Source organism: Homo sapiens, chromosome 2 (genome assembly GCF_000001405.40).
Source record: "Homo sapiens chromosome 2, GRCh38.p14 Primary Assembly".
Lineage (NCBI taxonomy): Eukaryota > Metazoa > Chordata > Mammalia > Primates > Hominidae > Homo > Homo sapiens.
Genome location: NC_000002.12, coordinates 214,714,965 through 214,737,028, shown reverse-complemented (window position 1 = coordinate 214,737,028; position 22,064 = coordinate 214,714,965). Strand labels below are relative to the sequence as shown.

At 37.6% G+C, this 22,064-nt stretch overlaps 1 protein-coding gene across 9 annotated transcripts in view; it reads left to right on the top strand.

The window, feature by feature from the left end:
- Positions 1 to 11,383, top strand: part of BARD1 (BRCA1 associated RING domain 1) — an 84,038-nt gene extending 72,655 nt beyond the window's left edge. For all 9 annotated transcript variants that reach the window (NR_104215.2, NR_104212.2, NR_104216.2 and 6 more), the window contains 2 exons: positions 6,521 to 6,618; positions 8,021 to 11,383. Coding sequence is in view for 6 of the 9 variants with exons in the window: in NM_001282548.2 (NP_001269477.1) it covers positions 6,521 to 6,618; positions 8,021 to 8,353 (431 nt within the window). In the remaining 3 variants the exon portion in view is untranslated. The remainder of the gene's footprint in view (positions 1 to 6,520; positions 6,619 to 8,020) is intronic.

Here is a 22,064-nt window from a genome sequence, read left to right as displayed (position 1 = left end):
GCCACCCTTCAAATGTAGTTGTAGACCTGGAAACATCCTTTCTTTTCAGGAAAAGAAAAAGAGCTACTTTCATTCTTCCTTAGTTAGTCTTAGGTGACACAGGATTCTGCAAATTGTTGCTTGGAGTAAAAGCATATTAGAGAAATGTATTTGTTTAACTCAATCATTGTAACTAGAGCATTGGATTTGCTTTACTTTACAGAAACTTACTACATAACTCCCATGAAACAGAATATTTAATGAATTAAGACTTACACTGGCTCCTTCTCATGGAAGTACCATGCTGCTCTGTTGGTATCTGCCATCTCATTTTTTTGATGCCATACTTACTGGACTGTAGTATCTATTAAGGTTAAATTCTGTTGATTGACTAATGCCAGCATGTTTTCAGGAGGAATAGATGCCATTTTAATGTGTTTCTTGTAAATAATCAGTCAAATAAACCCATAAAATGGAGAAGCAGCTGGCACAAGCACAGCCTACTTAATTCTGCAATTAGACATTAGCCATTCATTCGATACAGTAGATATCATAAGAATGTTCAGTCCTTGGCTTTCTGTGCCACCATATGCAGTTAAAGATACAATTATGAATACTCTGTAAGTACCATTGGGAAGGAGATTTGGGAAGGGGAATACCTGCTTACGTAATGAGGAAAATAAAAAAATCACATATAAAATAGTGAATTTGAGTTAACCATTTCACTGGATTCCTGATGGTTTTTTATTTGATTTTTAATATAGAAACAATATATGACATAATTCCAGCACACTGGCAGTGCTTCTAGTATGGTATTTTGACCCAGTCAAGAATTTTGAGTCTCATTTTCAATGTATAATAAAATTAATATTTATATTACCTTTATTAGAAAGGTTTTTAATTCAGTGAGTGGTTATTAAAATTTATGCCTTTTTTAGAGTATAATTTTTATTATATGTAAACAATTTTCAAAGCACATTTATGATAATTTAAAATTATAAGATTCGGAAATTCAGCTTAGCAACCTTGGGTGAATATGACTTTCATATTAAAAAAATGGGGGAGAGAGATCTGAGAGCCAAATAAAACACAGATAAAACTAACAAATTAAGATTGACATGATGGGTAATCATAGACGTCCTGAGTGTGAGTGTTGAATTTGAATTTGCATTAATGACCCAATTCAGGAAAGACTCAGCGTCTTGACAAACCTCTGCTTTTGGAGAGATGGAGTATTCAGTTGTTAGTCTTCTGACCTTTTTATAATAAACAACATCTTAGAACACTCAATTTAAGCAGCTTTTAAGCATTTGACATATTCACATCATGCTAAGATAATACCCAAGGTTTATCTTGTGTACCACTAAGTTATATTTCAGTGTGAAATACACAGCCTTTAGAAAACTAAGCAGATTTAGGTTCAAATTCCCATTCTGCCACTTAATGGCTGCATTCAGCTTTAAGCAAGTTGACTTCTTAGCATTTCAGTTCCCTCCCCTGAATTGGAAGTAATAAACAGTAAATCCTCATTGTTTGTGGATTCTGTGTTTGTGAGTTTTCTTACTTGCTAAAATTTTTCTTGTAATCCCCAAATCAATACTCACAGTGCTTTTGTAGACATGTACAGAGTAGTGAAGAACTTTAGTTGACAAACAAGTGTGTCCCCAGCTGAGGTCAAACAAGGTGATACTTTACCTCCTCTTTTCAGCTCTCACGCTGTAAACAAGTGGCCCTTTCACAGTCTGTTGATGCCATGTTTTTTGCATTTTTGTGTTTTTGTTGCTGATTTTATTATTTAAAATGGCCTCATAATACAGTGCTGAAGTGCTGTTTTGTGAGTCTAAGCTCAAGAAGATGGTGATGTGCCTTTCAGGGAAAATATTAAATACTGTGTAGGATAAGCTTTGTTAAGGCCTTAATTGTAGTACTGCTGGCCCTAAGTTTAATCTTAATGAGTCAACAGTATACAATAAATAATGTGTATAAACAGAAACATACATAAAACAAAGTTAAGTATTGATCAGTTGATGGAAATGCTGGAGCCACAGGCCCACAGAAATGTAACCCTGTATTTCCTTTAACAGCAGTGTTTCATTATTCACTAATCGGTGTTCATAGCATCTTTATAGAACATAACTACTGTAGATAATGAGCATTGACTATACTACTCTTGCTGGATTTGGGGAAGGATACAAGTACTTTTGGTAGCTGTTATCACAGTAATTTTGATCAGGATCTTTTCTTAGAACAAACAGTTGTGTCCTTGGTCATTTAAAGTTAGAAAAGTAAAAAGAAAACAGAATAGAATAAATTGGTATTTTAAGAATTTTCTTTTTCTCCTTTGACCAGAAAATATTGGTGTGTGATTTTTAGCATTGGATTGGTTAGGCCTTATGATTTATGAGTATTTTATTCTAGATTGTGGAAAAATTAAAGTTTTCAGAGCACTGCACAATGTACACGTTCAATCTATAGTAAAGTATTTTGCTCATTGGATGAATATTAGGTAACATAGCATTCATAGTTTTTATAAAATGATACTGCTCTCATGGTTCTCTATTAATTTATAAGAAGAGAGTTCTGTCTGATAGTATTTACAGGTGTAAAATAAACTTATATACAATCAAATAAATTCTACTCAGGTTCTACTCAATTTAAACCCAGAGAAGTAACAATGGAACAACTTATTCCATATTTTCTTAATGATGTTCTACTTTTTCTTTCCATATTTAATATTGTGATTTCGTATTTGTTTAACAAGAGCTATAAATGGCTAAAACTCTGGCTGTGTATTATTTCCTGCTTTATTAGTATTTTTGAATACCACTTCACTAATACATGTAAATCATTAATACTTCCAGCATATTTTTTTAATATTTAAAATATATTGGTCCTCCATTATTTTCAGAAACAACTTTGCATTCAAACATTTTATTCAAAAAACCTATTATCTTTGCTTTTAACATTGAAATACATGCAAAATATAAAAGAATATTTTATTATCTTTCTGGCAAGCAAATCTGCTCCCACATTTGTTATTCTTTGAAAGGTTAGCCATTTTAAGTAGGAAAAGAGGGAAAAGCTGAATCTGAAAAACGAATCTTCTCATGTTTGTCTATGTATAAGCTATTAACCTTTTTTCTTTCACTGACTTTGTAACAGAAGTTTACGTAATGTGAAGTTCTTAGGATTTCTGGACAAGAGTAGGGAGTTTTCTTGTTATTAGATATACCATGATTGAGATTATCTCAGTGGCATCCTTAATATCTTTAAAACATGGATGTAATTTTAAATGTGCTTGAAAAATTAAATTTGATAGTGGATTGCTTGTTGACAGAGGAAAATAAAGCAATAAAATTTCATTTAAAATTAAGCACTCTGAGATAGAGCATACAATATTAATGAAAGTTCAGGATTAGATTATTGAAATAAAGTGACAGGAAACAGCAGGAATTTTCTTCTTAGGGAAGAGATTATGACTTCTCTTGTACATGATAGGTGTTTAACACAGTTTGAGCATTCCTAATCTGAAAATCCAAAATGCTGTAAAATACTAAACTATTTGAGTGCCAGCACAACACACACGACCTAACATGATGGCTCACAGTCTAAACGCAGACACAACTTTATGCACAAAATTATTAAAGATAGTATATAAAATTATCTTCATATATGCTTTATCTGTATAAAGCGTATATGAAACATAAATGAATTTCTTTTTTAGACTTGGGTCTTGTTGCCAAGATATACCTAATTATGTACGTGCAAATATTCCAAAATCCAAAACAAAATTGAATTTTAAAACACTTGTGGTTTCAAACACTTCAGATAAGGGATACTTGGCCTATAAATATGATATAGGAAGAGCGCCGAAGTGGAAGTCTGTTGCTTTAGGAAGTGGTTCACTTTAACTTTGCTATTAGTGATCTTAGCAAGTCACTTTATGTTTCTGCACTTGACTGTGCAGATCTTTAAAACAAGAAGGTAGGACTAGCTCTTCAGGGTCTTTTCTACCTCGTAAGTTATTTGATTCTAGGTATTTTCAAAATTCAAGTTACAAGATTAGAATAAATAAAACATTTTATAAAGAGGACTCAAACACATTTTTTTTCCCTCAGAAAGTACCAGTTTTTTCAGTTCTGTCGCTTACTCCAAATTCTGCAGATGTGGCTCCTGGAAACAGTTGAAGTTTTGTTATTGTGTCAGTGTGGGGTAATAAAGAAGAAAGTTTAAAACCGATTATGCCATAAAGTCTGAGTTAGTCTAAAGTGGACCATTACTCACTCTTGGAAAACATTGCATTTCTTTTTCTTCTCCAGTATAAGTTTTTGCTCTCAAGATAATCATTATAGGTCAGCAAGGTGTGGTGGTTCACGCCTGTAATCCCAGCACTTTGGGAGGCTGAGGTGTGCAGATCACGAGGTCAGGAGATCGAGACCATCCTGGCTAACGCGATGAAAGCCTGTCTCTACTAAAAGTACAAAAAATTAGCCAGACATGGTGGCGGGCGCCTGTAGTCCCAGCTACTTGGGAGGCTGAGGCAGGAGAAAGGTGTGAACCCAGGAGGCGGAGCTTGCAGTGAGCCGAGATTGCGCCACTGCGCCCCAACCTGGGTGACAGTGCAAGACTCTGTCTCAGAAAAAAAAAAAAAAGAAAAAAAAATCATCATAGGTCAAAAGACATTTTACTCATACACAACTGAATCTTAATTTATATTAGATGCAATCGCAGGACAGTTCTGGGTAGCAGATTAACTGTTGGTTCTTAGCCACCCTTTAGTCAAGAAAGGAGCCCTTTTGCAGGCATATGCAGTTTACATGCCGAGTAGTGGTTCTGCTCCTGTGTTGGAATCAATTTACTGTTGAAGTAAGTAGGGATCAGCTGGACAAAACTTTATCACTAGCATTTTTCAAGAGGTTTCCAAAACACTGTAGTATATCCAACATATATGTCTAATCCTCAATATAAAGTATATGTTTATGCAGCCATAGATTTTTTTCTGATCATTTTAAGCCATTAGATATCAAGTGATAACAGGATGTAACAGTTTGATATTCAAAACTATGTGTAACTCTGAACTCTTACAGGTGCTATATAATTACTTATTTTTATTGATGTGGATACAATCTGTCAATGCTGTGTCCATAGTGAATTTTTAAAAACTTTTGTTCCTTTATGTTAACAACACTAGACAGTGAAGGGGATACCTGAGTTATTGTTCCAACTTTCCCGATACCCTCTGCTATTAAACTCCTGTTCTATGGGAAAGTGTATGAAATTCTGAAGAACGCATAGGTGAATAATATATGGTTCCTACCCTCAGTGATAAAATGAAGTATTGAGCAAAACAACCTCAAAGACAAATAGGAAATTGTATGGAGGGTTTGTTTTTATGATGAAGATAATTCATTGTAGTATCTAGTTTTTAGAATGCTTCTTGCATTTTATCCACAGAAGCCCGGTGAAAAACATTGTTTTCATTTTTTATTTCCATAGGCAAGGAAGCTTCCAGAACAAGTAATTGGGATAGCCAAGTCCTTCAACTGCAAATCTCAAATTTAGTTTAGTTATATGCCATCAGAACAGAAGCATGATAAATATATATACATGCCATCAGTTCCCTCGCTTGGTGGTAAACAGGCATTATCCAAGATGTTGTCTCTAGCTGAAGCTGACCATGTCCTTCATGATTGGTCCTGGGAATCCCAAGGGTTCCTTTCATTTCTAGAGCCTAGCGAGACAATTGGTACTGGCTGCCAGCCAGTGGCCCTACTTAGGGATTCCCCACCCAGGTGCCAAGCAGTGGAATGACTCTAAACAGTGCCAGGCTGAGCTGTCTCTATTGCTTTTGCTTTTTAACCTGAAGCTGTGAACAGACTTACTCAAGCCATCAAAAGAATGCTTTTTTTTTTCCTGCAAAGCCCAATCAAATCATCTCTAGACTAGCAACCTCAGTTGTGTACCTGTCACATGCCAAACCTATCCCAAGCTCTGCTTGTTTATTTTAGGAAGCGCTGTTGAACCCCTGTTGTGTGGCTAGCTGAGCTTGGTGCTGTAGACTAAAGCACATTCCTTCATGTCAAATCACTTACAGTTTAACAGACGATTAGACATATAACTGTCAAAATGAGCAGTATAGATGGTAAGTGCTCAGTTTAGGTTATTGTGTCATGGACTTTTTATTCACCTTAATTTTGGGTAATTGCTATGAGTGGAAATGTAGACTTTTATTTTTGTCTTTGAAATAGTATCCTGGCTTAGGTTTTTCAGAAAGGAGATTAAAATTACAGTTAGTGTTCAGTACTAACTTATGGCTTAATCCTCCAAAGAAAGAGTTTTTTAAAATATTTTCTTTATATGGGAAAACCAGTTGTATTACATTTTGTTTTGGCATAAGTAAGATTTCTGTTTGCATTTTAGAATAATACTTAAAAACTGCCATGAAGAAGAAAAACCACTTAGGTAAATTGCTTGATTTTAATGAGAGAGATATAGTGCTCACTTGATACTTAGTTTGCTTTAATTCTTGTGTTTTTGTCAGGGGTAAAAGCATGTCTACGAAGAAAAGTATGTGAACAGGAAGAAAAGTATGAAATTCCTGAAGGTCCACGCAGAAGCAGGCTCAACAGAGAACAGCTGGTATTTTTCTTTTAATACAACTTTCATTGTTCTTATTATGACATACTATTATTATCACCATCAGGAAGAACTTCTGCCCTTTCAACAGCTACAGGTGACTGATTAAAATTTTAATTGTGCTTATTTCAAGCACTTGATTCTGAAAGATGATCACGATGAGCAGTAAAATCCAGAAGGTAATAATTTCATACTGTTAATGGATTTTTGGCATCTTGAACATTGCCATAAACCTTTCAGAATCTGAGGTAAATCTCAGATACAGGAAGTAGCTTGAAAGAAGACTTACAGCTGCTGCTTGGATTTAGTTACCATATGTCTCTATGGCCACATATTGTAGCTTTAATGGATAATATCGCATTATCCTGTTGATATTATATAAGTATATTAGAAGTCACAAAGAAAATTTCCATAGAAGGGAATTATGAAACTTTTTTTATTTCCAACGAGCATACGGAAGTATGTTTCATAGCTAATTGGATCCCTAGCCTCAGCACAAAAATCTTTTGTGCCCCGTGAATACATTTCTGGAACCCTGGAGGGCACACCCCCATGGTGGCTGCCCTGGAGACCTTAGGTTGGTAATATGTAAGGACCTGAATGTGGATGGGCAGAATTGGATAAAAGTCCACGGAAAAGATGTTACTCTTGTAATTTAATAATGTTTAGCCTGGTGTCTCTGAAGCCTATTTCAAATAAGCTAGGAGTTGTGGAGGCTTTAAGTCCCACCAAATAAGCATAAACATCCTGATGAAAAAAGTTTGATGAATAGTTTGTTTTTTTCTTTATACCAAGCATATCTAAAATTTTAGAAGAGTGAAAAGGAACCGAGATGGTGACTGAATCTTAGGGAAAAAATTGTAAATAGGAAGCCCCTATTTGCCTAAGTATTTTTCTTGATCCAGTTAGTATGCTTGAAATATAACTTGTCCCAGCACCTCATTAAGTAGCTTCTTAGCTGCTCATAATTGTTACAGATGGAGCATTCCTAATCCAACATCTAAAATGCTCCAAAATCCAAAACTTTTTGAGCTTTGACATGATGCCACAAGTGGAAAATTCCACACCTGACCTCATGTGACAGGTCACGGTCAGAACACAGTCAAAATTTTGTTTCATGCACAAAATTACTGAAGATATTGTATAAAATTACTTCAGGCTATGTGCATAAGGTGTACAAGAAACAAACGAATTTTGTGTTTAGGCTTGAGCCTCATCCTTAAGATACCTCATGTATATGCAAATTTTCCAAAACCCAAAAAATTTATGAATCTGAAATGCTTCTCCTCCAAATGTTTCAGGTAAGGGATATTCAACTTGTATTTTTATTTTCCTCATTCATATACAGTGTTTTTGAATACAGTATTTTGATCTGCCTTTAACAAATGTTTTCTCATTATTTCAGTTGCCAAAGCTGTTTGATGGATGCTACTTCTATTTGTGGGGAACCTTCAAACACCATCCAAAGGACAACCTTATTAAGCTCGTCACTGCAGGTGGGGGCCAGATCCTCAGTAGAAAGCCCAAGCCAGACAGTGACGTGACTCAGACCATCAATACAGTCGCATACCATGCGAGACCCGATTCTGATCAGCGCTTCTGCACACAGTATATCATCTATGAAGATTTGTGTAATTATCACCCAGAGAGGGTTCGGCAGGGCAAAGTCTGGAAGGCTCCTTCGAGCTGGTTTATAGACTGTGTGATGTCCTTTGAGTTGCTTCCTCTTGACAGCTGAATATTATACCAGATGAACATTTCAAATTGAATTTGCACGGTTTGTGAGAGCCCAGTCATTGTACTGTTTTTAATGTTCACATTTTTACAAATAGGTAGAGTCATTCATATTTGTCTTTGAATCAAAAAAAAAAAAAAAGTCTAATGCCAGATTAGGAATTCATGTTATGTTTACCATTTAGAAGCTGGGATTGCTTTTAAAGGTTTTTCTTTTTAAAATTGGCATGTTTTTGATTTATCATGTCTTTCTATTCAGATTATTGGGTATCAAAGATTAATGAGGACACCAGAATCTTGGTTAAATAGACAAGTGGTATCATTACTGTTTGAGTCTTTTAATATTCTCCATACCTGCCACCAGTGAAAAAACTTGCCTTTTTTTTTTTTTTTTTTTTAGTAAACAGAATATTATCAAACAATTTATTTTGGCTTTATTGAAAAAAGAGTATTTGGTCTAAATGTGCCACCATAGGTGTTAAATTCTCCTATCTGCAATTGTCTTTATCCTATATTGTGTTCATTTCTTTTCTTAATAATTTACTTTGTTGTGTGTTTCTACACTTTCATCCCTGTTTTTTATCTTGTATATCATCAGGAAATTGTGATTTAATCATTAACATTGGTTTTTTTGTGTGTGTGGTAAAAATCAACACTAGGCTCATGGTACATATTTTTATTCTGTACATTTGCTTGTAACTATCAATTTGTAACTCTGTTTATCTACTACATGTGTATATATACTTAGAGCATTTTCTCTAACACATTTTAATGTTAGTATTTTTTAAAAGGTCTGACCAGTCTAGCAAATTGTCAGTCCAACGTCATTACTTTAAATTAAGAAGCAGTCTTCTTCTGGTAAACCTTGTTGGTATTTGTAAAATAATTTTGAAGGTCTTAATTTCTTCCTTTGTAAAAGGAAAAGGTTTTTTTTAAAGTTTTTAGGTTGGCATGGAGGCAGAAGTTGGTGATTACTTGATTTACAACAGATTTTTTCCAGATCATACAAAAGGCCATACAGTAAGTATAGAAGTAGGTATGGGGAGGGCTTACTAATATCAAATAGGCAAGGCCTTAGTGAGTGGGCAGGATACCACCTGAGAGTGGCCAGATGTGGGGAGGTTACTCTGCTCTGGGTGCTCTCATTCATGAATCGACAAGGATACATTAGATTATTTTGAAACATTTTTTTAAGAAGCAGAATTCTTTAATAATTCCTTCCTAGACATTGAATATACTTATAAAATTAAAGACTTGGGGAAGGAGACACTGAGAGACTTGCCAGTTTGGTTCCTCATGAACAAAAGAGGACAGTTTGATAACTACCAGAATAGAATATCCCTAGTTTTAAAATAGTGAGAATCTCTGAAGTTCATCAACATCTTAAGATGCACTTACTTGAAAGTTTGAGATTCTGTTTATCATTTGAAAACACATTTTGCTTTAATTCTTTCTTTGACATGTTGTTTTTTCATATCAAGAAATATATGAACAAAATAATAACCTTTTGACCCTGACCTTGCTGGGTGAATTAGCTCTGAAACACTCTCTACAACCAGTAATGCATTTGTCCCACATTTCATTCTGATAGAAAATGAACACCATAGCACCAAACAAAAATCCGAGGCGTTAGATAATGTCTGGATTAAATAATTTAAGACTCTCTAGGATTTTGGTTGTCATTTTTTATTTATAACAGACTTTAAGTCACTTTCTGTTGCCTCATAGGTCACATTTTAGACAGGTTTGTGTCTGTTCCTTGCATCTGAATTCCTGATTGTAAAGACACCTATGAGGTCTCTTAGTTTTTGTCATTCATTTTCTTGGTTTATCACCCCTCCCTTCTTTTTGTTGTTTTTCCCTGACTGTTAAGCAGTTTCATCTTTGCTTTTGTTAAATATTTGACAGCAGTTAGTTTGTGTTAAGCTCTTGAAACTTGTGATTGTACTTTCTGTGTAGATATACATGTAATTATTTTTTATTTTTCAATCATAGATTCAAGCTTCCTTCTTTTTTACCACAAATCATTAAAGTTATTTGTGTTTCCATATACCTGTGTCTTGTATAAAATTGGCTTATTCTGTGCTGTTGAATGAGGCTCAACATGACTTGGTGAGGAAGTCTATTAACTAACAAAAGCTTATCTTTTTTAACATAATGCTTTTTAATTAATTTTGAATAAAAATATTTCTAAAGTGTACTAGATACTTTATTACCTTAGATTATTCCGAATACAGTATAACTTTGATAGTTTGGAATAGTCATTAAGAAACAATTACACACTGATTGCTTTGTGTCTCTAAAAGTGAGAGGCTGGTAGCTTTTCCACATTCTCATGGCTATTTTCTAGTTCTACTTGAATTTATAACTGTTTCCCTTTTTCCTTGACAGCTGCCACTTTGTAGCTATTTTTCTGTCTCTGCTAATACTTTACCATATCTATCTCAATTGTTTTTTCTTTTGACTTGCTGAAAAATAGAAACCAGATGGGAAGTATATTAGCATTATGATTGAAATAAGGGTAAATGAGCAATGTGTGAAGGTTTTCACTGACTTCACCTAAAAGATAGTTTAGCTACTTGAATTTTAGTAAATAGAATTTTTCCTTTATTTCATCGGTCCCCCCACCTTTTTTTTTTTTTGCACCTGCCTTGTAAATTTAATAGTTAAGTGACCTCTGCCTAGAGGATGATATTTGGGGAGGTTTGATGTTTCCTGTGGGAATAAGACGATTCACAGGTGAGAGTGGGGCCACATTAGCTGTTATTGTTTCCATGGGTCAGTGTGGAAAATGCATTAATCATATTCTAAACGTTCATGGGCCTCATTACAGTCACAATTGTCTATTCTGTTTCCTACCCTGAACACATTAAAATGGTAGGAACTAATGCTTGTCTTATTTAATTACTAAAAGCCACCATTTTCTTTGATAGATTGAGCTACAGATTGTAAACTTCATGTATTTCTTTATAAGTCAACCCTTTTCAAAGATACGCACATCAAACTGAATGAATAAATAAATATTGAGAAGTTGTCTTCGTTTAAGAGCTGTAATTTTTTTTTTTTTAGTCAACTAATAGTCTTATGCCTGGCTAATTAAGCTGCAGACATTCTTATGAATTAGGGATTGTTGATTATTTGTGTAGCTTTCTAAGGCACAAGGTGCACTTTCTGATACCTGTAAGTTTCTATTAGAATGGTGATGTGAGAGAAGTGGGAAAAGCATGTTCTTTGACTAGGCTTAAAGGGTTAATGACTAATACTCCAGCCCCAGGGAGGATCCTGAATCGGCTTTGAAGTTAGACATGGGTTTGTTAACAATCTAACCTGTATCATCAGTGATAAAGGGGGGGAATACAGTTCATTTCACCTGAGTATAAAGATGTGTGAAAGTGCTTAGCACACTGTAGGCATTCACAACTCGCCTTCCAGGACCCCTGTGAGCAAGCTCATGAAAAAGTGACTGTTGGTAGCACAGCTTGTGTCAGTCCTGAGTATCCTGGCTCTTGTATCCCATGCACAAGACTGCTGGGTGTCCTCCTGTATTCACTTTACTGGTTTTAGCCTGAACAACAACCAGAGCCAGGCCCTAGTTTCTTATTTCTGACTTCTCACCATCCCATCTGCACTGGTAAAGTTTGCCCATCTATGTAGCCACTCCTGCTCATTTAACTAAAATGTTTAGCTTTCATCCCCTCAGTGTATTTACTGTGGATACCAAGATTGCTTAAGCCTCCACACAGAAGTGGGGCACCTTGGACAGCACTGGCAAAGCTTCTACAGTTACCATAATATCATAAACCCTTCCGCCACCTCCACTTGAGGCCTAAAACAAGGATGTTTATCTTTTCTGCCTTAGTTCATAGTTTGTGAGACTCATATTTTCATTAATACCACTAATTTGTCAAAACACACCTTATTTGCCTGCTGTGTAAGATAATGTAACCTAAAAATAAAGGTCTTTTTCTGAATCTTACTACTGTAAATGTTTGAGCTTTTAAACAAATCTGTTTACAAAAATATTACATAGTTCAGAAATACAAAAAGAATTTCTGCAGAATACAAAAGCACAAGGAAGAAAACAGGCACAAAATCCAGGGACCGTTAAACTGACAAACTATTTTGTGTGGCCTTCATAGTGTTAAAAGTACATCAAATGCTGTTGACAGGGGACATGAGCTTCCATTCACCACATCCTCACCACTTGTCTCTCACCCCTTACATTTATTCTTTTAGTTGGGCCTTGGAAACATTGACTTAATCCACAACTCAGGAACAACAACTATTAACATTCTTGTCTTTTTCTTTCCCCATAAGTTATTGGGGTACAGGTGGTATTGGGTTACATGAGTAAATTAGTTGTGATTTGTGAGATTTTGGTGCACCCATCACCCGAGCAGTGTACACTGCACCATATTTGTAGTCTTTATCCTTCGCCCCCCTCCCACTCTTCCTCCCAAGTCTCCAAAGTCCATTGTATTATTCTTATGCCTTTGCATCTTCATAGTTTAGCTTCCACATATCAATGAGAACATACTGTGTTTGGTTTTCCATTCCTGAGTTACTTCACTTAGAATAATAGTCTCCAATGTCATCCAGGTCGCTGCAAATGCTCTTCATTCATTGCTTTTTATGGCTGCATAGTATTGCATCACACACACACACACACACACACACACACACACACACACACACGTATATGTATATATACACACACCACAGTTTATCCACTCATTGACTGATGAGCATTTGGGTTGGTTCCATGATTCTGCAATTGTGAATTGTGCTGCTATAAACATGGGTGTGCGAGTATGTTTTTCCAGTAATGACTTATTTTCCTCTGGGTAGATACCCAGTAGTGGGATTGCTGGATCAAATGGTAGTTCTACTTTTAGTTCTTTAAGGAATCTTCACTGTTTTCCATAGTGGCTATACTAGTTTGCCTTCCCACCAGCAGTGTAGAAGTGTTCCCTGTTCACTGCATGCATGCCAACATCTGTTTTTTGATTGTTTAATTATGACCATTCTTGCAGGAGCAAGGTGGTATCACATTGTGGTTTTGATTTGCTGATCATTTCTGATGTTGAGCATTTTTTCATATGTTTGTTGGCCATTTGTGTATCTTCTTTTGAGAATTGTCTATTCATGTCCTTAGTTCACTTTTTGATGGGATTTTTTTTCTTACTGATATGAGTTCATTGTAAATTCTGGATATTAGTCCTTGTCAGATGTACAGATTATGACGATTTTCTCCCGTGCTGTGGGATGTCCATTTACTCTGCTGACTGTTCCTTTTGCCATGTAAAAGCTCTTTAGTTTAATTAGGTCCTAGCTATTTATCTTTGTTTTTATTGCATTTGCTTTTGGGTTCTTGGTCATGAAATCCTTGCCTAAGCCAGTGTCTAGAATGGGTTTTCCAATGTTATCTTCTAGAATTAGTATAGTTTCAGGCCCTAGGTTTAAGTCCTTAATCCATCTTGAGTTCATTTTTGTATAAAGTGAAGAGATGAGGATCCAGTTTCAATCTGCTACATGTAGCTAGCCAATTATCCCAGCACCATTTGTTGAAAAGGGTGTCCTTTCCCCACTTTATGTTTTTGTTTGCTGTGTCTAAGATCAGTTGGCTGTAAGTATTTGGGTTTATTGCTGGGTTCCCTATTCTGTTCCATTGGTCTATGTGTCTCTTTTTATACCAGTACCTGTTTTGGTGACTATGGCCTTATAGTATAGTTTGAAATCAGGTAGTGTGATGGCCTCCAGATTTGTTCCTTTTGCTTAGTCTTGTTTTGGCTATGTGGGCTCTTTTTTGGTTCCATATGAATTTTAGGATTATTTTTTCTAATTCTGTGAAGAATGATGATGGTTTTTTTTAAATTTAATTTTATTATTATTATACTTTAAGTTTTAGGGTACATGTGCACAATGTGCAGGTTAGTTACATATGTATACATGTGCCATGCTGGTGTGCTGCACTCATTAACTCGTCATTTCCATTAACTTGTCATTTAGCATTAGGTATATCTCCTAATGCTATCCCTCCCCGCTCCCCCCACCCCACAACAGTCCCCAGAGTGTAATGTTCCCCTTCCTGTGTCCATGTGTTCTCATTGTTAATTCCCACCTATGAGTGAGAACATGCGGTGTTTGGTTTTTTGTCCTTGCGATAGTTTACTGAGAATGATGATTTCCAATTTCATCCATGTCCCTACAAAGGACATGGACTCATCATTTTTTATGGCTGCATAGTATTCCATGGTGTATATGTGCCACATTTTCTTAATCCAGTCTATCAATGTTGGACATTTGGGTTGGTTCCAAGTCTTTGCTATTGTGAATAGTGCCGCAATAAACATACGTATGCATGTGTCTTTATAGCAGCATGATTTATAGTCCTTTGGGTATATACCCAGTAATGGGATGGCTGGGTCAAATGGTATTTCTAGTTCTAAATCCCTGAGGAATCACCACACTGACTTCCACAGTGGTTTTTTGATGCAGATTGCATTGAATTTATAGATTGCTTTTGGCAGTATGGTCATTTTCACAATATTGATTCTACCCATCCATGAGCATGGGCTGCATTTCCATTTGTTCGTGTCGTCTGATTTCTTTCAGCAGTGTTTTGTAGTTTTCCTTGTAGAAGTCTTTTGACTCCTTGGTTAGGTATATTCTTAAGTGTTTTATTTTTTTTCAGCTATTGTAAAAGGGGTTGAGTTCTTGATTTGCTTCTCCGCTTGGTCGCAGTTGGTGTATAGAAGAGCTACTGATTTGTGTGCATTAATCTTGTATCCAGAAACTTTGCTGAATTCTTTTATCAGTTCTAGGAGCTTTCTGGAGGAGTCTTTAGGGTTTTCAAGGTAAATGATCATATCGTCAGCAAACAGTGACAGTGTAACTTCCTCTTTGCTGATTTGGATGCTCTTTATTTCTTTCTCTTGTCTGATTGCTCAGGCTAGGACTTCCAGTACTCTGTTGAAGAGCAGTGGTGAGAGTAGGCACCCTTGTCTTGTTCCAGTTCTCAGAGGGAATGCTTTCAACTTTTCCCCATTCAGTATTATGTTTGCTGTTACATTAAGCTGTGTCCCTTGTATGCCATTTTTGCTGAGAGTTTTAATCATAAAGGGATGTTGAATTTTGTTGAGTGCTTTTTCTGCATCTCTTGAGATGATCATGTGTTTTTTGTTCTTAATTCTGTTTATGTGGTGTATCACATTTATCATGACTTGCATATGTTAAACCATCCCTGCATCCCTGGTGTGAAACCTGCTTGATCATGGTGGATTATCTTTTTGATAAGTTGTTGGATTTGGTTAGCTAGTATTTTGTTAAGGATTTTAGTATATGTGTTCATCAAGGATACCCGTCTGTAGTTCTCTTTTTTGGTTATGTCCTTTGCTGGTTTTGGTATTAGGGTGATGTTGGCTTATGGAATGAATTAGGGAGGATTCCTTCTTTCTCTATCTTGTGGAATAGTGTCAAAAGGATTGGTACCAATTCTTTGAATGGTAGAATTCTGCTGAAAATCCATCTTGTCCTGGACTTTTTTTTGTTGGTAATTTTTAAATTACCATTTCAGTCTTGCTGCTTGTTATTGGTCTGTTCAGGATATCTAATTCTTCCCGATTTAAGCTAGGAGGGTTGTATTTTTCCAGGAACCTCTCCATCCCTTCTAGGCTTTCTAGTTTATGTGTGTAAAGGTGTTAGTAGCCTTCCATGATCTTTTGTGTTTCATGATGTCAGTTGTATTATCTCCTGTTTCGTTTCTTAGTGAGGTTATTTGGATTTTCTCTCTTCTTTTCTTGGTTAATTTTGCTAATGGTCTATCAACTTTATTTATCGTTTCAAAAAACCAGCTTTTTGTTTTTTGTATCTATCTTTTGTATTTTTTGTTTTGTTTCAATTTCATTTAGTTCTTCTCTGATCTTGCTCATTTCCTTTCTTCTGCTGGGTTTGGGTTTGATTTGTTCTTATTTCTCTAATTCCTTGAGCTGTGACCTTAGAATATCAGTTTTTGCTCTTTCAGTCTTTTTGATGTAGGCAGTTAGGGCTATGAACTTTCCTCTTAGCACTGTCTTTGCTGTATTCCAGAGGTTTTGTTAGGGTGTGTCATTACTGTCATTCAGTTTCAAGAATTTTTAAATTTCCATCTTGATTTTGTTTTTGACCCGATGCTCTTTCAGGAGCAGGTTATTTAATTTCCATGTATTTGCATGGTTTTAAAGGTTCCTTTTGGAGTTCATTTCCAGTTTTATTCCAGTGTGGTCTGAGAGAGTGCTTGATATAATTTCAATTTTCTTAAATTTATTGAGGCTCATTTTATGGCCTGTCATATGGTCTATCTTGGAGAAAATTCCAGGCACTGTTGAATAGAATGTGTATTCTGCGGTTGTTGGATGAAATGTTCTGTATATATCTGTTAAGTCCATTTGTTCCAAGGTATAGTTTAAATCCATTGTTTCTTTTTTGACTTTCTGTCTTGATGACCTGTCTAGTGCTGTCAGTGGAATATTGAAGTCCCCACTATTATTGTGTTGCTGTCTATCTCATTTCTTAGGTCTGTTAGTGATTGTTTTATAAATTTGGGAGCTTCAATGTTAGGTGCTTATATGTTTAGGACTGTGATATTTTCCTGCTGGACAAGGCCTTTTACCATTATATAATGTCCCTCTTTGTCTCTTTTAGATGCTGTTGCTTTAACATTTGTTTTGTCTGATATAAGAATAACTACCCCTGCTCGCTTTTGGTGTCCATTTGCATGAAGTGCCTTTTTCCACCCCTTTACTTTTAAGTTTCTATGAGTCCTTATGTGTTAGGTGAGTCTCAGCAGCAGATAGATGGTTGGTGAGTTCTTATCCATTCTGTGGTTCTTTTAAGTGGAGCATTTAGGTCTTTTACAGTCAATGTTAGTATTGAAATGTGAAGTACCATTGCATTCATCATGCTCTTTGTTGCCTGTACACATTGTTTTTTTTTGGTTGTTTTTTGTATTTGCTTTTTAATTTGTATTTTGTTTTGTAAGTCCTGTGTGATTTATGCTTTAAAGAGGTTCTGTTTTGCTGTGTTTCAAGGATTTGTTTCAAGATTTAGAGCTCCTTTTAGCAGTTCTTGTAGTGGTGGCTTGGTAATGGCGAATTCTCTCAGTATTTGTCTGTCTGAAAAAGACTGTATCTTTCCTTCATGTATGATGCTTAGTTCCACTGGATAGAAAATACTTGGCTAATAATTGTTTTGTTTGAGGAGGCTGAAGATAGGGCCTCAATCCCTTCTAGCTTGTAGTGTTTTTGCTGAGAAATCTGCTGTTAATCTGATAGATTTTCCTTTAAAGGTTACCTGGTGCTTCTGTCTCACAGCTCTTAAGATTCTTTCCTTGTGTTAACTTTGGATAACCTGATGGCAGTGTGCCTAGGCAAAGATCTTTTTGCAATGATTTTCCCAGGTATTCTTTGTGCTTCTTGTATTTGCATGTATAGGTCTCTTGCAAGGCCAGGGAAGTTCTCCTCGATTATTCCCCCATATATGTTTTCCAAGCTTTTAGAATTCTCTTCTTCTTTAGAAACACTGATTATTCTTAGCTTTTGTCATTTAACATAATCCCAGACTTCTTGAAGGCTTTATTCATATTTTCTTTTTTTTTTTTTTTTTTTGAGACGGAGTCTCGCTCTGTCGCCCAGGCCGGACTGCGGACTGCAGTGGCGCAATCTCGGCTCACTGCAAGCTCCGCTTCCCGGGTTCACGCCATTCTCCTGCCTCAGCCTCCCGAGTAGCTGGGACTACAGGCGCCCGCCACCGCGCCCGGCTAATTTTTTTGTATTTTTAGTAGAGACGGGGTTTCACCTTGTTAGCCAGGATGGTCTCGATCTCCTGACCTCATGATCCACCCGCCTCGGCCTCCCAAAGTGCTGGGATTACAGGCGTGAGCCACCGCGCCCGGCCCATATTTTCTTATTCTTTTTCCTTTGTCTTTGTTGGATTGGGTTAATTCGAAGAGCTTGTCTTCGAGCTCTGAATTTCTTCCTTCTACTTGTTCAGTCTTATTGCTGACTTTCGAGAGCATTTCACATTTCTAAAAGTGTCCAATGTTTCCTGAATTTTTTATTTTTTCTTAAGCTATCTATTTCCTTGAATAGTTCTCCCTCCACTTATTGTATCATTTTTTTGATTTCCTTGCATTGGGCTTTGCCTTTCTCTTGTCCCTCCCTGATTAGTGTAATAACTAACCTCCTAAATTCTTTTTCAGGTAAATCAGAGATTTCTTCTTAGTTTGGATCCCTGGCTGGTGAACTAGTGTGATTTTTTGGGGGAGTGTTGAAGAGCCTTACTTTGTCATATTACCAGGGTTGCTTTACTGTTTCCTTCTCATTTGGGTAGGCTCTGTCAGAGGGAAGGTCTAGGGCTGAAGGCTGCTGTTCAGATTTTTTTGTCCCATGGAGTGTTCCCTTGATGTAGTACTCTCCACCTTTTCCTGTGGATATGTCTTCCTGTTGAGAGATGAAGCTAGCTGGACTTCCTGGGTTGAGTGGAGACTTGGAGAACTTTTCTGTCTAGCTAGAGGATTGTAAACGCACCAATCAGCATTCTGTGTCTAGCTAAAGGATTGTAAATGCACCAGTCAGCACTCTGTGTCTAGCTGAAGGATTCTAAATGTACCAATCAGCACTCTGTAAAAAAGCACCAATCAGCGCTCTGTGTCTAGCTAAAGGATTGTAAATGCATCAGTCAGCTCTCTGTAAAAACGCACCAATCAATGCTCTGTGCCTAGCTAAAGGATTGTAAATGCACAAATCAGCACTCTGTAAAATGGACCAATCAGCAGGATGTGGGCAGGGACAAATAAGGGAATAAAAGCTGGCCACCCCAGCCAGCAGCAGCAACCCGCTTGGGTCCCTTTCCACGCTGTGGAAGCTTTGTTCTTTCGCTCTTCACAATAAATCTTGCTGCTGCTCACTCTTTGGGTCCATGCCAACTTTAAGAGCTTTAACACTCACCATGAAGGTCCACAGCTTCATTCTTCAAGTCAGTGAGACCAAGAACCTACCAGAAGGAACCAACTCCTGACACACTGTGAGCCGAGCTGCAGTGATTGTTGTCTCTCTTCTGGGTCTAGCCACCCAGCAAGTCTACCTGGCTCCAGGTTGGTACTGGGGGCTGTCTGCACAGAGACCTGTGATATGAACAGTCTATGTATGGGTCTCTCTACCTTGGATACCAGTGCCTTTCCCTGTGGAGGTGGCGGATGGGAGGAGGGCAGTGTGTGCAATAGACTCCTTGAGGGTTCTTAGCATTGGTGGTTTAATGCTCTATTTTTGAGCTGGTTGGCTTCCTGCCGGGAGGTGGCACTTTCCAGAGAGCATCAGCTGTGGTAATGTGTGGGTGAAACAGTGGTGGGCGGGGCCCTAAAACTCCCAAGATTGTGTGCCCTTTGTTTTCTGCTACCAGGGTGGGTAGGACCATCCGGTGTTTGAGCTCAGACTCTCCTTGGGCAAGTCTTGCTGCGGCTGGGGATGGGGATGAGATTCCCATGTCACTGGGAATCGTATACCTAGGAGTTATATACCTAGGAGGATCATAGCTGCCTCTCCTGAGTCATGCAGGTTGTCCGGGAAGTGGGGGAAAGCTGGCAGTCACAGGCCTCACCCAGCTCCCACGCAAATCGAAAGTCCGGTCTCACTCCCACTGTGTCCCCCGATGAACAGCCCTGAGTCTGTTTCCAGGTGGAGGGCTAGACAGGCCTGAAAATCTGCCCCAGGCTACCCGCCTCCCAGCTGGGAAAGAAAAGGGTTTGGTTCTATCCCCACCTGTGGCATCTGCACACCAGATTTGCACCCTCCCCCAAGTTCTGGCCAGGAGGTTTCTCACCCTGTTCAAATTTTTACAACGTTCTGCTGGAGATTTCCTTCTCCCTGTGGAGTTTTAGCCCCTGCTTCTCTGGCTGCCTTCGGTATGGATCCCTGTTTTAGCCAGGCAGGAATGGGCTGTTTGGGGACCCAGTGAGCTCCCAGGGTCTTTCTGCTGCTTCCTCTACCCCTGTATTTCACTTGGCCATCCAAATTGACTCAGCTCCAAGTAAAGTCGGTAACTTCTCCCACAAACAGACTTCCAGCTTCTCCAGTGGGGGTGTGTGTTCAGGAGAGGAGGGTCTCCCTTTCCCACTTCCGCAGCTGGGGCACTCACAGTATTTGGGGTGTCTCCGGGTCCTGCAGGAGCAGTTCTCTTCCTTCCGAGGGTCTGTGGGTCTTCTCGGGATTGCTGGTTTGTTCTTGCAGTCAACCTGGAGCTAAAATTCATGATGTGAGCCCCTGCATGCTGCTCTGTCCAGAGCTGCAACGTAGTCCTGCCTCCCGCCCGCCATGAAGATCCGAGAATTTGTTTTCCTTTTTAGGGAAATAGGATTCTGAATCTTTTTTTTCCCGCCTATTTAAGCACACCTATATAGGTTTTATAACTAAGGCATTAAACTCTGTGTATGCTTTTATTTTCCATGTTTTTCCTCGTAATTAAGTATTCTTATACACAATTTCAAAAAGTGTAGTATCCTATCAACAAGATGTATCATGATTTATTTAACTGAATCCCTGGTGTTGAATATTTGGATTCTTTCTATTATAGAAACAATTACTATATTATTATCTTTTTTTTTTTTTTTTTTTTTTTTTGAGAAGGAGTCTCACTCTCACCCAGGCTGGAGTGCAGTGGTTCGATGGCTCACTGCATGCAGCCTCCGCCTCCCGGGTTCAAGCGATTCTCCTGCCTCAGCCTCCCAAGTAGTTGGGATTACAGGCACTTGCCACCATGCCCAGCTGACTTTTGTATTCTTAGTAGAGACAGTGTTTCACCATGTTGGCCAGGATGGTCTTGAGTATTATTATCTTTATAATAAATTTGGAGTGGGAGGGGACAAAGTTTCTTTAAAAGGTCACGCTAAGTTGGTATCCATGGCTACCATCTCTGCAGAATGTGGTGCATAGCCTACATATTTAAATTATAACCTGTAGTTACACCTAAAATACAAAAATTAGAAAAGGAGCCTTAACTGACTGCTGTGATTCTCATGAGTTGGTGAAACTTTACCTGTGTGACTAAAAACACCTTATGGGTTAAAAACTAACCATAAAAAGAAAAAAGAGAAACAATCTGCTTTTTGGTAGAGACCTCAGAGATTATCTTGCTTGTGAGAAGTTATTTTGTTAAGATGAGGAAACTGGTCCAGAGAACTCACTAGTGACTCACCCAAGATCATTCTACTCACAAATGGCAGGACCTACAACAAATGCCTGTGTTTTTTCTCTATCCCATACTACCCCCTGGGGCACCTGTGTCTTTAAGGCTATTAAAGCATTTGCTGTTATGCTTTAATAGAGCCTTTGATCTGATATCTACCGAATGAACTTACTGGACTGTTCTAGGACAACCATAAGGGAAGACTGTCTGTCCCACACTTGGGGCAACCCCACCTCTACCTCAGCAGACATTACTAATCACTGTACTTTGTTTCTGAGACTGCAAAGGATCTTGAGATCTTTCTCAATTTTTGTTTCAGACAACCACATCTAATTAGTCAAGTTGGTTTATCAGCTGGAATACATTTACCATTTCTAAACTAAGCCATGCTTAAAAACTCAAGTAATTTTTAAGTGTATGTGTGTGTTGCTTTCCTCTGCAGCAGACTAGAAGTACGTAATTTTCCAGTTAATGATATTCCAGTCAGTAACTGTGGC